General features: G+C 51.9%; 1 protein-coding gene and 1 non-coding gene across 2 annotated transcripts in view, besides 3 other annotated features; both read left to right on the top strand.

The window, feature by feature from the left end:
* Positions 1-17,599, top strand: part of GRID1 (glutamate ionotropic receptor delta type subunit 1) — a 767,244-nt gene that overhangs the window by 100,322 nt on the left and 649,323 nt on the right. The window lies entirely within an intron of this gene.
* Positions 1,667-2,167: an enhancer, noted in NCBI's record as "H3K4me1 hESC enhancer chr10:88024064-88024564 (GRCh37/hg19 assembly coordinates)". NCBI's record gives its function as "activates a minimal SCP1, AML or CMV promoter by ChIP-STARR-seq in naive H9 embryonic stem cells {active_cell/tissue: H9 hESC(naive)}" and the evidence as "EXISTENCE:reporter gene assay evidence [ECO:0000049][PMID:30033119]".
* MIR346 (microRNA 346) lies at positions 1,686-1,780 on the top strand. The gene has a single exon (NR_029907.1). It is a non-coding gene; the product is annotated as a microRNA 346 (primary transcript).
* Positions 2,545-3,528: an enhancer, noted in NCBI's record as "H3K27ac-H3K4me1 hESC enhancer chr10:88022703-88023686 (GRCh37/hg19 assembly coordinates)". NCBI's record gives its function as "activates a minimal SCP1, AML or CMV promoter by ChIP-STARR-seq in primed H9 embryonic stem cells {active_cell/tissue: H9 hESC(primed)}" and the evidence as "EXISTENCE:reporter gene assay evidence [ECO:0000049][PMID:30033119]".
* Positions 3,529-4,512: an enhancer, noted in NCBI's record as "H3K27ac-H3K4me1 hESC enhancer chr10:88021719-88022702 (GRCh37/hg19 assembly coordinates)". NCBI's record gives its function as "activates a minimal SCP1, AML or CMV promoter by ChIP-STARR-seq in primed H9 embryonic stem cells {active_cell/tissue: H9 hESC(primed)}" and the evidence as "EXISTENCE:reporter gene assay evidence [ECO:0000049][PMID:30033119]".

Genomic DNA, 17,599 nt, shown 5'->3' with positions numbered 1-17,599 from the left:
GGTGCAGAGCCTGGGGGCTCCTCAGCTGTGTAGAAGTGCTGGGAAGGCATGGTGTATTTGGGGGTCAGATGTGGTAGTTTTGGGGTTATTGATGGAATTTGGGGGTAGGCAGGGATGCCGTGTGTGAATGCTCTGGGAGGAGGTTTGCAGGAATTAGAGGGATTTGCTGGAGGAGCTTTCTGATGGCGTCACTGGTGCTGTGCATTGGGGGTTGGTGGCAGGTCCTGGAGTCATAGCTGGGGTCATAGGTGTGTTAGGGAGGCAGTGATGATGGGTTATCAGGAGGGGGAGGATCACTGATGAGGTGGGAGGTGGGAGCAGCGAGGATGGAATGGTGCTGTTGGCCAGGGGGTCCTCAGTGACTACCCCAGCAGGGTGGCTTCAACTGTGAGCTCTGGTGTGTCTGTTTCTTGTCTCAGCGCTCCACGGGGAAGTTTAGACCTGAGCCTCTGAGAGGGGTCACTGGGCAGAGAGACCCCTGGATCTCAGAGGGCTGAAGGGGGAGGTGAATGGTGGGCATGGGTGGCAAGGGGCTGAGCCAGGGCAGTGGATGAGTCAGGAGTATGGGAGGCTGGGCTGCTGATCAGCGACTTTGCAGATCCTCAGGGTCATTACTTGCTGTTGTTGCTGGGGAAAGTTGCAAAATGAAAATTAACTGTCAGAGAAGATTGATTCGTTTGATGCCTAACCAGGAGCAGCCTTTTATTGCTGTAAAATGTTGATTTCCTCTTGCCTGCAATGACAGGTGAGTGTTAGTGGCACTGAAGGAAGACAGATCCCTGAACAGAACTTGCAGAAACCATCCCCTGAGGGGCTCAGCCCTCTTCCCTCCAACCTCTATGGCTGCAAGAGCAAGAATGAGTGTCTGATTTTACTCATGGGGTGAGAACACATCTGTGGGTGTGCCAGCCACGTGGCAGGGCTGGTGGTAAGACCTGGGGCTCTGGATTCAGACACATCTGGATTCAAATCCACGCTGGGCCACTTAATAGCTCTATGCCTGTGGGCAAGCCTCAGTGTCCTCATCTGTAAAATAGAAGGGTCATACCTAATTAAGTCCTAGATTTTAAAGCACTTGGCACAGTGCCTGGCACAGGTTATCAGGGCTGGGTCCAGTTGAAATGATCAAATGCTGCTGAAATTCAGAACTCGGATCACTTTTGCAATAGCAGCCATCGGTCGGGGGCAAGGATGGGACAAAGGCAGGACAAGAGTCAAGAGAGGGAGCCGTCAGAGAAGTGGAGTGGGAGGTGAACGAGGATAATTTGTTATAATGGAACCATGCCTGAGGTGGGGGTATGGGAGCTCATGCCTATGGGGGGCCGGGCAGGGTGGGCCACTCAGTCTGCAGGCCTGGGCCAGGCTAGCTGCTCAGAAAGGATGAGTAGCCCAGGTCTGTCCCTGCCCAGTGTGTGGCCAGGGGAGCCTCTCCGTGCCCATGCCACTTGTCTTGCTTAAGTGTGGCTAGGAAGGAAAAGGCTGGGCAAGTGCAGCTCCTGCTTGGCTGATCCAGGCCTTGATGGCAGATAGCTATGTTCAGAGAGTTTCCTGGGGGCCGGGGAGTAGCCCTTCTCCTCTAGGAGCCTCTTGTCAGCAAGGAGTGAATTTGGCTGCAGGTTGGAGGGCTTCCTCGTCTGCAGGGCCAACCAGGAAGGGGCGGCGGTGACACAGACGAGCGTGTGGGAGGTCTCTGTGTTGGGCGTCTGTCTGCCCGCATGCCTGCCTCTCTGTTGCTCTGAAGGAGGCAGGGGCTGGGCCTGCAGCTGCCTGGGCAGAGCGGCTCCTGCATGGGACATGGCTCTTCTCTCTGGTTACAGACTCACCACTTCGCTCCCAACCTACCTCCACAGTCAGCGTGGGGCATCAGGCCAGGCCCTCCTGAGCCAGAGAAGATTGTGGAAACCTTGCTCTCCAGGTGGAGTGGCCAGCCTCTGGGAGGTGTTCAGGAATGGGCTCCTAGAGAGTGTGGTGAGCTCAGGCTGGATCTGAGCTGGGCAAAACTGCTTCCAAGGGGGGCCCACATCCAAGGGACTGAGTGGTGGTGGGATTCCTCCCTCTGGGGTAGTCTCCAGCCTATGGGGCAGGGGTACAGGGTACAAGGGGCAGACAGATGTAGGGAGGACAGGCAGGAAGTTCCAGCAAGTTTCCGGGCCAAGGAAATGTTGTAGAGAACCAGAGGATGATAGGAAAGAACAAATGAAGGACAAATGAAAAGGCCTGGCCAGGCTCCAGAGTGGGGCGTGTTGAAGTCTGAGGGTCATGGGTCTCACCTGTTGGTGGGGCTGGGCTCTTAGCTCCAGCGTGGGGTGGTACTGCAGCTGCTGGGATGGGAGAGGAGGGTGCCCAGCAGTACCTTCTGTGGGTCAGCGTGACTGGCAATGAAAATGAGGTGAATGAACATCCCAGGAGCTCATGCTGCCAATAAAACACCTGACCCGGCAGGTGGGCAGCCTGGATTCGGCTCCCAGCTCTGCTGTGAACTTGCAGAGGCTCCTGGACAAGTCCCTTCCCCTCTCTGGCTTTCTGTTTGCTCCTCTGCAAAATGTGAGCCAAATATTTTCAAGCAGTGGCACTCTTTGTTCAAATGAAATATTCCATGAAACCCACTTTTCTTAACTTAGTGAAGTGGGTTGAGGTGGGGAAACCCAGTGGTCTAGCCCATCTCCAAAGCCTACTTCCAAACATAAACAATTGTCCTAGATTTTAAAAATTAATATTTTAAAACCAACTCTTATTGAGCACTTGATATGTACCAGGCACTGTTCTAAGCACTTTATAAATAGTGACTCAATTCTCACAACCCGAGGGGGAGGGAGGTGGGGAAACAGGCATCAGAGGTGAGGTGACATCTCAAGGTCCCACAACTAGTGAGTGGCACAGCAGGATTCCAGCCCAGGCAGTGGGGTCTAGGACGGGGTTTGGCCTCTGTTCTCGCTGCCTGTAGGTGCTGGCGAAGGGGGCGGCTTGTTCTGCAGGTGAAAGGCCACGGCGCCCACGTGACTTGGTGCTGCACGCTGGAACCCCGAAGTCAGTGTCTGGGGAACCGTCCCGTTGGGCCTGGATTCTGACGAGCTGGGAGAGGCGGGATCCTCCCCGCTGCCGTCTCATTTCCCAGCTGGCCCACCGCGGCCCCGCCACTCCAAGGCCGGTTTACAATGGCAACGTTGCGCGCCGTGGCGCGAAGGGAATTGAATGCGGGAGCTTCTCCGCCAGGCACACACTCTAACCACCAAATTTATTTAAGCAGATAAAATGCAGGGGGTGTAATGTCAGATTAATGGATAAATAACCGTTCTGGTTTTTGGCACGATGACGGGGAGCAGTAGTGAGAAGCCTCATTATGTGCGGCTCTGCCTCGAAGAACAAGCCTCGTGCTGCAACCCCAGCACCCGGGCCCGCGAACAGAGCATTAAATTGTTGGAAATGGCTCCCCTTCACTCGCAGAACAAAGATGTTTTCTCCAGAATAAATTGACTCCCTCCCAGCGCGCTGAGCCCTGGTTTCCCACAAACGCAGCCTATGCTCTCGGGGGAGGGAGGGCGGGCGATGCCGGCCTGGGAACGCCGCGCAGGGAGCTTCCTGCGGGGGCGGGCTCAGGGCTTCTGGCTCCTGGGCTCTCTGTCGCCAAGCCTCCATGGTAAAGGAGCAAACCTTTAGTTGTGTGGACAACGCAGAAGTCTGGCAGAATCGGGGTTGGAATTAGGGTGCGCTGAGAGGCAGTGTTCCTTGGTTAGGGCTTTGCGTTTTGTGTCCCTAGGTTTGCGTGTCGTTGGCCAGCTGGGCGATCTTCAGGCAAGTTATTTAACCTCTCTGAGCTCAGTTTGTTAACAGTGAAGTGGGGAAGGGGCCCTTCCTAACAGGGCTGTGGTCCAGAGCACGTAATAAGAGAACGCTTGGGGGTGGAGCCACGTTCCCTTCCTCCAGAAGGCGCCCTCCACTCTTGGCCCTCTGCCAGCATCCATGCCCAAGATGGTGTGGTGGGGTGTGGGGACCCAGGAGGCTGCTGTCCGGCTGGGCCTAGACCCTGTGGCATGGACCAGGGGGCCGAACTGAAGGACGCAAGCTCTTCGAGGTGGGTGGGGGAATAAAGCCTCCCTTCCTGGGTGCCCAAGGTCTGGCCAGTGCCTAGTAAGCCCCTGGCTGGGTGGGATCAGAATCTCAGTGGAGAGCTTGGCTTTGCTCTGGGCCAAACTTAAAGACAGCCATTGCCTCCAGGAGCCATTGTGCTTGGTTTCTGCCTGGCTTCCTGGGCTCAGTAGGAGCAGAGCTCCGAGAGGCTGCTGAGGGGCAGACTAACTGCTTTCAGATCAGCGCCTTTCTTCCCCTGCTTCCTCCTCCTTCTAGAAGGTGACTTGCACAGTGTAAAGAGCGCAGGCTTTGGGGCCAGATTCACCACTGCCACCTCCTGGCTGTGTTACGCTGGACACACTGCTTCACCTATCCGAGCCTCAGTTTTCACCTGCCGATGCCAGAATAATGCTTTCACTTTGTGAGACTGGCATGAAGAGTGAAGCTCCTGGGCTGATGTCTGGCACACAGCTCTTTGGGCCCCAATGTCCTGTAACAAATGCTTATGGAGCACATACTTGTGCCAGGCTCTGAGATACAATGGTAAGCAATGAAGCCTTGTGTGACCTCCAGGGGTTGACTGGGGAGCAGGATGACCTGGATGCTGGTGGCTGCCCGGATGTGTATGTGTGTGTGTGCCACCTCAATGCCCCTGCTCAGGTGAGAGTGGGTGACCTGGGGTTTTGCTGCATCCAGCAGGATCTGGCCTTTGGGATGGTGGGTTGCCTCTGTCTTGCGCTGCCTTTTCCTTGTCCTTTTGGCCTTGCTCCTTCTTACCTGATCCACTCGAGTTTCTCACTGACCTAACCAAGAGGTTGGAAGAGGAAAACGCCCCTGGCTTGGGGCAGGAATATGGGTCCTAGCGGTTAGTGGAGCACCTCCTTCCCAGTACATTGGGTGCTCTCCAGGTGAGCAAAGCAGATGAGGTCTCTGTCCTTGTGGTGCTTGCAGTCTTCTGAGTAATGACAGCTACTGAGCATTTGCCCAGTGCCAGGCTCTGTGCTAAGTGCTTTTCACATCCGATCCTCACTATGCAATGGATAGTCTGTGGCCAGCTTTGAATCTCACCCCTTTGCCATGCCGGCAGGTCCTGGGGGCCCTTTTTCTCCCCCAGGGGTCCTGCAGGCCCTGCTAGCATAGAGCTCTGGGCTCAGATAGGGGTAGCTTCAAATTTGGTTCTGTCCTGTTATTTTGCAAGTCACATAACTTGTGTAAGCCTCAGTTTCCTCATCCATAAAATCGAGATAATCATAGTACCACCTCCCAGGGTTGTGGGGAGGAAGCACCAAGCATAGAACCTGGGTTGCTACAGGGGCCCCAGCCCTCATGGCTGGGTGTTTTGCTCCCTGTGGAGTGGGCACAGAGGCTTCTCCGGGCTTTGCAGCCCACACCCAGCTTTTTCTTCGGTTTGAGGAACGTGTGTTTAGGAGGCTAGGAGAAGGCTCTCCAGGCAGCACTCCTTCTCCCACCTGCTGGGTCTTTGTTTAGCTCCAAATTAAAGCTAAAGCAGAAAATACAAAACATTTCCTCCATCACAGGTGAAGGAACCGGCTGTCTTATCAGCTCTGGAGCCGAGTGGCTTGGCATGTGTGTGCTGGTAATTGTGGAGTCTGAATGAAGGGGTGTCTCTGGGGACCATGCTTTCCATCACTGTCCGTGTCTGTTATCATGGTTATCTCATTCCCAATCAGGCTCAGGGGACGTGGGGCTGGGCGAGGATTTTCCATTTTCTGGAGGCTCACATCCCACCTCTGCCTTCTTACTCATTCCGATGGCCCAGCTCTTAACAGCCCTCCCTGGCCTCTGCCTTGAGCCTTCTAGGATGTCATCTGCTACTGGTGTCCATTCCAGTTGTGTCTGTCTGCATCCCTATGAGGACCGGGAGCTCCTGAAGGTCCCATTAGAGTCCAGGGATTATTGATGAAGCTCCAACCAGGAAGACAGAGTGGGACACATGGTTGGGGTGGTGGGAGCATAGAAGTTCTTAGAGGCAGATCTGGCTTGTAAATCTAGCTTTGTCACTTGCTGTGTGACCTAGGGAAAGTTACCTAACTTCTCTGAGCCTGGCTTTCCTCATTTCTAAAATGAAGGTGTTACTGGTACGTGCTGTTTGTAAAGATTGGTGTAAGTATTATCATGAAGTAATATCCACAGTCTGTAGCTGAGTGCCTGGGATGGAATCAGTGCTTTCCAATGCTGGCCCAAAAGTGGAAGGAAGCCACGTGGTTGGTACTCAGATTTCCCTGTTGAAGGTAGAACAGAGAACAAGGTGCAGGAGAGGAATGCTGGTTGTTGCCCTGACTACTCCACACAGGTGTTCCATGGGGTGAGGGCAGGCTCACTGTTATCTCAGGACCAGCTAGAGACCAGTTCACACTAACCAAGCTCAGAAGAGACTGATTTTTGGCTGAACACAAGCCAGCGTATTAATTCACAAGGAGAAACCACTGCCTGGGCTCTCATGTGCTTCCCCAGTGAGAAATCCTAGTGAGCCAGGTGACTAGGTGCTTCCCACTGAATGGAGGAACCTTCAGAGGGACTGCTGGTGGGTCTCAGGGACTTCTTGATCACTATTTGGAGCCTGCTATGGAAGAGGTCAGAGTGTGGCCTCTATCTGGCCTCTTCCTCTCAGTTCACTTTCCTTACTGGACTCTCTTCCCTTTGCCTTCTGCTGTCTTTCCTTCCCTGCCCCTGCCATTTGTGCAGACTTGCACACGCATGTGCGTGCACACACACACACACACACAGACATGTGTTATTAGGAATGCAACTGGACTCTGCACTTGATTGAATTTGAAATAATTGACTTCATTTCTGATTTGAAACTTACAGATTCCCCACTCCCCTATGTTGGCAGTACCCAAGTTTTTCCTTGACAATTTGTATTTTTAAATTAATATACAACCTCGTATGTAATGATATAGATGTATTTACATAATTTAATGATATTCTTTAATAATTCAGAGACATTCAACTTTCTGTACGCATTGTTTACACGCACACAAGGGAGGAAAGTCATTAGTTGTCATCAGTGAACATGGATAGGTACAGATTAAGGAGAGAGGAGAGAGAGAGAGAGGTAGAGAGAGAGGTAAAGACTGCAGAGGTCTGGAAACAGAATCTTGTCTTTACATTTTTGGGTTAAACTGTTAGGGCTGACAGCTTGCAAAGAGGCTAGGCTAGGCCACTTGCCCTAGGGCAGGGGGCTGGGTCGTCAAAGGAAACAGCTTCATGTTCTTATAGCTCCTCCTGCAGCTTTAAGGGCACAGCTGGGCAGCACATGTTGGCCTGTGTCCAGCCATCAGCGCCCACCTTTTTGAGGCCACAGCTGCTCTGTTTTCCTCATCAGAGGTTCTCTCTTTTTCTTTGAAATTTAAGCATTGTTCAGTTATGAAACTTAGCATTAATTTCTGTGCATAAACTAAGACTGGTTTTGTCCTTTTGATTTCTAATCTCAGTTCTTCGTTCAGTTCCAGGAATTTTTCTATTGAGGTGATGATCAGCTATGATCAGTTTCTTATGTCTTCTTTGGAAATCGTGTCCCTGTAATTGGGTTCTCCCTGCATTTTCTCTTGTATGTGTCATCTTTCACATTACAAAAAGCCTCCACTTACTTAGTCTGTTGTCTGGATATGTGGAGTAGATTGTTTCATTGTTCAAAATATCCACTGCTTCTCTCTGTGGGAGGATTTACAAGCTGCCCTTATGATGTCATCCTTGGCCATGTGACTTGCCAGGGCCAATGAAGTGAGGGTGAAAGTGACAGAGGCCTCTTTTGAACAAGCTCTAAGAGCTGCCACATGGTTTGTTTTTCCCTCTGCCATGAGAGATGGGGGCTTCTCCCTCAAGCCTGGGTCTTGGAATAAAGATGCTGTGGGACAGAGCTGCAGCCAACCTACCATAAACAACCTACAAAAAAAGTGTGAGAGGAAAATCACTTTTTGCTGATTTAAGCCACTGAGATTTTGGGGTTGCTTGTTACAGTAGCATATCTTAGCTTAAACTGACAAATACATTTCTCAAATATATTCTTTGTTTCACTGGTATGGTTTCTTGGCAATACCAATTTTGTTTTTTACAGCTTCCAACAGTGATTCTATTAGAATCATACAGATATTAATTTTGTTTTGAATTATATCATTCAGCTGATGTATTTTTTTATCTTTGAAAATAATTGGTAGTATTTTTCTAAAATCTTATGCTCTATATGTGAGTCTGTTTTAGGGTTGGCTATTCTCATGAAATTTTGAAACTGGACTGTAGGGATTTTTATTTCCTTTACCTATTTACTGCACTTTGAGTTTTCTCTGTTGTTTCTTCCTGTTTTGCTGAGGGGTTTAGAAGCCTCACTGGGGTAGAAAACTAAGTTGTGGGGCTGGAGGCGGGACACCAACCAGCACCATGGTTGGTGGCAGGAAGCCTGCAGTTAGAGACTGGGCATGTGTTTTGCTCATTGCTGTTGGTGCTGCTGAGGAAGTCTTTGTTTCAGTGGATTACAGACTGTTTTAATTGGATTAAAGGGGGAACCTCCTTGGCATTGCTCCCCTGTTCTTTATCTTCCTGGAGATAATCCTTTTAGGTGTCTGGAGTTGGCGCTCATGTCATCTTCACACTTAGTCTGCCTTCTCCCAGGCCCTCTCTGTGTTTCTCAGCCATGCCCCATGATGAGTTCTGTGTCCCATACACCTGCCTGGCTATTCCCTTCTAATTCTTCCCCATAGTATCACTGTCCCTACTGAATGTAGAGCCCAGAATGGATCTCAGCGCTCAGCTGCCATCTGGACTGTTTGGAGGGGATCTCTCCCTCCTTATCTAGGGTATGATATCATGAATTCACACAGTGGTGGCCACATCAGTCTGTTGGCTTATATTAAGCTTAAAGGTAGTTGCATCCAGATCTTCTCCCACAAGCTCCTAGTTGAGTCTTTTCCACCTGTTCTTATGTCTGTGACTCTCAATCCATCTCTGTTGAGCTCCGTTTTGCTCATTATGGCCCATTGGTCCAGATGGCCAGATCTTTTTGTATCCCACACACTGTATTAAGTCTCTCTCAAGTGGAATCAGTAGCAATCAATATCCTCTGCAGTCATTGATAAAACTGTTGAGCAGACAGGTCTGAGGATAGAGCCCTAAGGCCTATCACTAGAGACTCTGCCAGTTGTTATCTCTGAATGCACCTAATTGCACTAGCACCCAGCCCACCTCAGAGAGGACTGTGTGAATACCTCATTGAAATCCAACTCTGCGTCAAAGCCTAAGGTTGTTGACTCTTGAGGTGCTTTAGTCAGTGTTTGGGAAGAAACAGATCACGTATTCCAAAGGGGCACTGAACAGATTTGAATACAGAGGAACCCAGCAGGGACAGGGAAGCACTCAGAGGGTATCAGTGCTAGGGAGATGCACTATCCCTGGGCCTGAAGGGACAGGGGCTGTGTTGCTGAGCCTGAGAGAAGGATGCAGCAGGCAGAGAGGGGCTGCCAGTGGGAACTGTGTCCTTCACTGGGGAACACAGCTACTGTAAACCCAGGCCCAGCTCAGCCCTCTGATCTGCTGATGCTTCCCGGTGGCTGAAGCCAGGTAGAAGCCAAGGGGCAAGGGAGCCCAGGAGCTGAGTCCATAGAGGCCAGCTTTGAAGGGCACACAACAGAGTGGACGGGAGACACCAGCAGAATAGGCAGCTCACCAGGTCAGGCTGTGATCTCATGTGCTTCTCTAATCCTCCATGTTGTGCTGCACTAGGTTACTTGTTAATGTCCCAAAGAGTCTTGTGAATTATATATACATATATGAAGAGAGAGAGAGAGAGACAAAGAGAGATCCCTTGGGATGGAGAGAGAGAGAGAGCTTCTCTGTCAATCGTCACTTTTGGACCCTCTTGCCAACAGGGTGAGTTTAATTGCAGTCATGGGGACATGACGACATTTAATTAATTAATTATTTAGAGACAGGGTCTCACTCTGTCACCCAGGGTGGAGTGCAGTGGTGCCATCATGGTTCACTGTAGCCTCAGACTCCTGGGCTCAAGTGATCCTCCCACCTCAGCCTCCTGAAATGCTGGGATTACAGGTGTGAACCACAGCACCCTGAGACATTGATATCATCTTAGCAAATTCAGTGCCCATGGGAGCCAACTGGGCTGTTCCTTGTGGGAGCAGAGCCCCTGCCGTGGCCAGAGATGCAGCCTCAGGGTGACAATAGGGGAAAGAAGAGCAGTCAGAGTTCCTAGGAGTTGGAGCTATTGGGTAGGGGCCCATGGAGTCACCCTTCTGTCCAGGGCTGTCCTGAGCAAGACACACAGACAAAATTCACACAGACCCACCTGTGCGTCTGGAAAAGCTGTGCCAACTACTGCTGAGCTGGAAGATTTCTGTTTCATGCCTGTATTTTAAGGAAAGGCAAGGGCTGTGATCCGAATGACCCTGGGATCCTCTCCAGGAGCCCTGGTTACCGGCTGTTGTGCACACCATGGGGGAGGCCGTGTAGTGGTTGGGGGTGCGGCAGCTTCAGAAGACAGGGCAGACTGTGTTGGACATGGGAGGTGAGATGTGGTGTGTGTGGAGCTGGGCAGCCCAGGCGAGGCCCCTGGGGCTCCTGCTCAAGTGGTCTGTCCACCTGCCGACTCAGCCCAGCACAAGTGAGTGCACGCAGCCATCTCTCTAGCTCTGACATCCTAGCTGATAGGACCAAACCAAATCCTTATGGGGACAGTGCTGGGGACACCCTAGGTCCCCAGGGGGCAGTGCACGTCCTCTCTGAGGTGATGACAGGTGTCAGTTTGCCAGTGCCACAAGGCTGGGCACCGGGCAAGAGAGCTTGCGACTGCAGGAGGAAAAGGGTGACCCGAGCCACAGGTGCACAGAGCCTAGCCAGATGTGCACACAGGTGGCAAGGGAGCTCAGCCACTGCATCCCAAGGGTGGTGAGCACAGGGAGGGCCTCCTGAGGGGCTAGTATATGAGTGTCAGGGGACATTGACCTTGGCCTTAGTGCGCTTCTCTAAAAGTGCTACCCAGCCTCCAAGTTGTGCTGCACTCAGTTACTTGTTAATGTCCCAAAGAGTCTTGTGAATTATATAGGCATTGATCCCTTGGGATGGAGAGACAGCTTCTCTGTCCAGCTTCTCTGGACACAGTTTGTTTTAATTATTAATTTTAAAGTACAGATACAATATAGATGCATGACAGAATATTTGAAAATAAAGAAAAGAAAAGCATGTTTGCATCTTGGCTTGCTTCTTTGCACGCCCTTCTTAAATACTTGTGATTCCCCAGGGAGTGGGGGACAAGGGTGTGGGGTGACATCCAGGTGGGTGGGGAGCCCATGGAGCAGGAGACACAGTGGGAAAGGATCAGGGAGAGTGGCTATGACCAAGGGCAGGCCTGGTCTTGGGGGTGTGGAGGCCAGGCTCAGGCTGGAGTTGTTTGCCCTGGGCTTCCTCATGTGGCTTTCTCCAGGGGCTGGTCCTTATCTGTGCTTCCTGAGTCCTGGAGGTTTTCCCCTGCTTTAGTGAGGGTCCCTCAGGCAAGGCCAGCCTGCTTGGGGATCCCTGGCTGGGGCTGTGCAGCCGGCACTGGTTCAGCCAGGTTCGCTTGCAGGAACTCTTGTCTCCTAGGCATTTCTGTGGTCCAGTGGGGAGCTGCTGGGCATCTGACAGGTGATGGGCAGCCCCAGGCTTCAGCGGCTCTGCTTTAGTGGCAGCACAGCTGGAAGCCTACTGGGCCCTGCCTGCCATTGTGGAGAAGCACACAGGGCCAGGGTGTGGCCCCAGCTGCATGAATCATCCAGGAGTGTGTGAACACTGACTCCAGGCTCCCGCACTATGGGGCTGCAACGTGAGTATCAAGGGTTTTGAAAGCTACCCAGGTGATTCTAAGGAGCAGCTACGGTAGTTCTCAAATTTTATGTGCATCCGTCACCTGGATCTTGTCAAAAGACACAATTACAGAGCCCCACCTCAAAAGTTTCTGATTTGCTATGTTTGTCTGAGAATTTGTAAGAAATTGAAATCTAACAAGTTCCCAGGAGATGCTGGTGCTGCTGGTCTGGGGACCCCACTTTGAGAACCTCTGGCCTAGATGAAGATGATGTGGGAAATTCTGGTTACCTCCAGAAGGCAAGGGCAGGCATTAGCTCCCTCAGTTGGTGAGGGCAGGTGTCAGCACTCACAGGTGGTGAGGACAGGTGTTGGTTGTCTCATGGGGTTGTGAGGGAGGAGGCTGACTGTCACAGGTGCTGAGGGAAAGTGTTGGTTGCTATCCTGTGCTAAGGAAAGGTGTTTGCTGTCATGCACATAGGTGGTGTAGGAGGGTGTTGCCTGGTATCAGTAATGAGGAAAGCTGTTGGCTGTAGGTCTGGGTGGCAAGGGAAGGGGGTGGCGGTGACAGGTGACAAATCAAGGTGTTAGTGTTGGTGGGTGGTAAGGAAAGCTGTTGGCTTTCTGTACAGGTGGTGAGGGCAGGTGCTGCCTGTCCCAGATGGAGGGGAAGTAGCTGGCAGTCACATACCTGAGGTGAGGGAAGGTATGGCTTTGTCATAGATGTGAGGGTCGGTGTCAAGTGTCACAGATGGTGAGGGAGTTGTTGCTGTGTCATGGATCGTGAGGGAAGGTGGTTACAGGTGGAGAGGGAAGGGGCTGGCCCTTCTAGCTGGCTAACACGGACATTGGCCTATTTCCCACTGAGGCTGAAGGTGGCTCCAGCTCCCAAGTTCCCTCGTGTGTCTGTCCTGATCCCCTTTCCTGATGCCCTCGGGGCCTGGCCTTCTTGTCCTCCCATGCTGCAGTGTAGTCCAAGAAGGCGGGTGGAGCTTCAGGGCCTGGCTGGGTGGGTGTGTCTCTGGGCCTGGGAGGGAGGAGTGTTCGGATGGGCTGGGGAGCGGCAATGTACAGCTCTGTGCTGAGGAAGTGCTTTGCACAATTTCATGCTGGCCTTCAGTAATGCATCTGCCACAGAACGATGGCCCCAGGAAGCCTCACTCCCTGCACACATTCAGGAGGCACATTTCAATGCAGAAGCCACAGGAAGAGCGTTCTTATCTCTGTCTTTTATCATCAGTTTCCAATGAAGAATCACAGCAGCCTGTGTCCTGGGGCTCCAGCCTGGTGCCTGTGGGGAAAACAGTTCTCCCAAGAGCAGGCCTCCGATGCAGAGATGCAGGATGTGGAACCCGGCTTTTGGAGATGGCCACATGCAGATGAGCTGATCTTAGGGGAAAAGACAGAGCTGTCAGCCTGGCTGTGTCTGATGTCCCTGGTTTCTATAGCTACAGTAAATGTAATTACCAAAAAGTAACCCTTTTCGGATTTCATTGTAACCTCAGAGAGCTAATGACATTTACTGGGTTTCTAGCAATCTGGGACAAAATGCTCATTTTAAATTTAACATGAGTAATGCCATTTTCCATCTTAGTTAAGTACTTTGTGTCATAAAAGAGTTATCTGCCCAGAGCCCCTGGTTCTGTCAGTAAACATATTACAAATATTATCACCACTTATTTTCTGGATGAAAGATGTGGCAAAGGCCCAGAGAAACACTCCTCCTTTACATTTATGACTTTGCTTGGAGACTCAGCAAATTCAGCATGAAATCACTGTGGAGGTAATTCAGGCTGTGCACCAATATCTCACACTCAGCCGGAGGCCCCCAGAGACGGTAATGTTATCTCAGGGAGCACAAACTATGTAAATACATCCTTCCACCACTCGACCACAGTAGGCATCAGATGGTGTCACTTGGCTACCAACAAAGGTGACAGATGCTGAGTGTCTTTGGTGTAGAAAAATGGAAGTCATTGACTGTAGCTTGTTAGGGGGAAGATGAGTTTCTTCTCCATTCCTGGAGACATACAGAATTTGCACACCAAAGTAGAGATGGTGTCAAACCACGTATTTATTTATTCATCTGTTTATTCATGCACTTTGTGGATCCATTCACACAGACCCGTAAGTAATCCTTACAGTGCAGTGTGATGAGTATTCTAATGGAGGGATGTACTAGGCTTGCTGCAGTGGAGGAAGCACAGAGCAGGAGGCACATGAACTGCCTGGGGAGTCCCAGGAGGCCCACAACGAAGGTGATGTTGGACCAGGCCTGGATGGATGTGACTGAGTTGGACAGCCCGAGGCTGAAGGAAGACACTGCAGGCTGGGCGTGATATTAACGCTCTTCTTGGGCCACATCCCGGTCTCTGCTGGAGTGAGGACTGGCATTGCCCTGCCTCCCTTAGAATCCAGTACTGCTTCACAGGTCCAAGGCAGAGAGGAGAGCACCCTAGGGCCGTGGGTCAGCTGGACCTGGGCTCTGTATCTGGCTCTGCTACTTAGTAGTGGAGCAACTCCAGGTAAGGTCAGAGCCTCAGTTTCCTCATGTATGGAACGGGGACACCCGTACCAACCTCTGCAAGTGATAGTGAGGATGACATCTAACCATAGCCCAAGATGCAGGTGCCACTGCTGGTCTTGCTGCAGATGACTCCTTTAGGCAATGAGAGTGCCTATCCCATGGGGGAGGTTTGTGCTCACAGGATATTCCTGTGGGAGGTTTGTGCTCACAGAGCACTCTAAGACAGCCCAGCCCTGAGCTGCTCAGGGTCATCAAAAGTGTTTTTAGATATGAATGTCAGGCCATACAGGTGCTAGGTATCTGTGCTTCCTGACCCCTGGTGAAGGCCTGTTTCAATCTGGCTGATGCCTGGTCCTGGCTCTGACACTTGTCAGCAGTGATTGGCAGATTCTGAAGTGTGACAACTTTGGAGGAGGAGCTTCTGAGCTTCCCTTCCTGGGTCAGTGCCCAGCCCTGATCCCAGATCCCCAGGCCACTCCTGTCAGGGGCCTGATGTTCTAGGGAGGCAAGCAGAGGGCTGTAAATCTAGGGTTTTCCAGGAAAAGCTGAGGTAGTAGCCCTGCAAGGCTTGAGGGACCAGCTCCCGCAGACATGAGGGAACTGAGCCTCGGGTATGAGGACCAGCCATGGCCCCAATGCTGTCAGTAATTTGGCATAAATATGTCATATTGCATATAAAAATACATGCAATTTTTTTTTTTTTTTTTTTTTTTTTTAGTATTTATTGATCATTCTTGGGTGTTTCTCGGAGAGGGGGATTTGGCAGGGTCATAGGACAATAGTGGAGGGAAGGTCAGAAGATAAACATGTGAAGAAAGGTCTCTGGTTTTCCTAGGCAGAGGGCCCTGCCGCCTTCCTTCCGCAGTGATTGTGTCCCTGGGTAGTTGAGATTAGGGAGTGGTGATGACTCTTAACGAGTATGCTGCTTTCAAGCATCTGTTTAACAAAGCACAACTTGCACCGCCCTTAATCCATTTAACCCTTAGTGGACACAGCACATGTTTCAGAGAGCACGGGGTTGGGGGTAAGGTTATAGATTAACAGCATCCCAAGGCAGAAGAATTTTTCCTAGTACAGGACAAAATGGAGTCTCCTATGTCTACTTCTTTCTACACAGACACAATAACAATCTGATCTCTCCTTCCTTTCCCCACATTTCCCCCTTTTCTATTCGACAAAACCTCCTTTGTCATCATGGCCCGTTCTCAATGAGCTGTTGGGTACACCTCCCAGACAGGGTGGTGGCCGGGCAGAGGGGCCCCCCACCTCCCAGACGGGGTGGCGGCCGGGCAGAGGGGCTCCCCACTTCCCAGACCGGGTGGCTGGGCAGAGGCGCCCCCCACCTCCCAGACGGGGCGGCGGCTGGGCGGGGGCTGTCCCCCACCTCCCGGACTGGGCGGCTGGCCAGGCGGGGGCTGCCCCCCACCTCCCAGACAGGGCAGCTGGCCAGGCGGGGGCTGCCCCCCACCTCCCAGACTGGGCAGCTGGCCGGGCGGGGGCTGCCCCCCAGTACACATGCAATTTTTAAGCATTCCTTAGATTAGCCTGCTGAGTGCCCCACTGGGAGCCAAAACACAGCACACTCACACAAGCTGCCTGCTGCTTACTGAGACCATTTCTCTTGGCTGATGAATACACTGCAATGCTGAAACTGTCCTGAATGGCTCTTCTTCCAAGAAGACCTGTGCATGGGGATGGTAACTGTAGAAACGGAGGGGCTGCTCAAAGGCAGCAGGAGGGGAAAACTTAATGTTGAGGGGAAGCTGGAGAGGTACCTCAGCCAACCCTCTGCCTTTGCTTAGGGCCACCTTGAATGCCTGGAACAGAGGGAAACCTGCCCTATTCCCAGTCTGGAGGAGACTGCATGGAGGAGATTTTGGCCACTGGAAGCAATGTCCCCACTGACTTTTGCCTTTGCCTCTTCTTTATGTGACCTTCCTGTTGACTCATACATGCATGCATCCATCCACCTACTCACCCATCCATCTATCCACCCACCCAGCTACCCACACATCCATCCATTCACCCATCCAACTACCCACCCATTCATCCATCCTTCCACCCACCCATCCATCCATGCATCCATCCATCTATCCACCCACCCCCCATTCACCTACTCACCTATCCATCCATCTACCCACCCATTCATCTACCCACCATCCATCCATTCATCCTTCCACCATCCATCCATTTATCAAACATTGATGAGGAGTTACTGTACCAGGAACTGGGGATTGGAAGGTTCTATTGTGGGGAGATAGACATAGAAGAACACATATATTAGAGGACCTGGAGGCCCAGTGATGGAGGTGGTGATTGGAGGCTTTCTCAAGGAAGGCCATCTGAGCATTAGCAAAGTGATGGTTGAGGGAGAGGAGTTTCAGGAAGAAGGGACTGCCTGGGCAAAGGCATAGAGGCCTGAAACAGCTATCTTCCTGTTGTGGGGGAGGGTGTGGGGGGGTAGAAATGGAGGTGAGTCGGGGTGTGTGGAAGACAAATGGAGGTGGAGTGTGGTAGGAGAGGAGCTTGGGTGGTAGTCAAGACCCTCAAAGGGGATGCCAACTGTTGTGCGGCTGGTCTGAGGGCCAAGCTAGGGGCACAATCAGGTCTGTGTTCAAGTAGATTTGTCTGATGTCAGAGACTGGAGAGGATGAGTTGTGGGATATGAGGGTCCAAGGATGGATCCAGAGGAGACTGTGACTTAACTCCAGAGAAGTCCTTGAAGGTAGGACTGATGGTGACCTTGGGACTCACTAGCCTGTGGGTGGCCAAATGCCAAGCCCTCTCTGATCTCCCAGGTCTAACCCCAGGACATAGGTCCTGCTGCCAAGGGAGGGGCATCCTGGGATCCCCCATCCTCTAAGAAATAGGGAGATCTCAGTATGGGACCCTCTCCCCACCTAATCGTGGCTTTCCAGGCATCGTGGCTGTCAGAAGGGGAAGGTATTTGGGAACAGGAGGGTTTTCTGGGAGCCCTTGTGGACTGCCCTGCACCAAAGTTAAGTGCTGATCTCGGCCCCCTGGCAGTCTTGGCTCCTCCAGTGAGGGAGGCAGCTATCAGACAGGCTGGCTCCTTCTCCCTGGGAAACTGAGGGTGGGGGTGGCCCTGTTTCCTAGGTCCTGCACGGCTCAAGTGTTGTGAGCTGATTTGCTTTTTCAGCTCCTTCAATCTTGATAGCAACTGAGAGGTAA

This window comes from Homo sapiens, chromosome 10 (assembly GCF_000001405.40).
Source record: "Homo sapiens chromosome 10, GRCh38.p14 Primary Assembly".
NCBI classification, from domain to species: domain Eukaryota; kingdom Metazoa; phylum Chordata; class Mammalia; order Primates; family Hominidae; genus Homo; species Homo sapiens.
The sequence above is the reverse complement of the archived record's forward strand: the minus strand, read 5'-3'. Positions and strand labels throughout refer to the sequence as shown.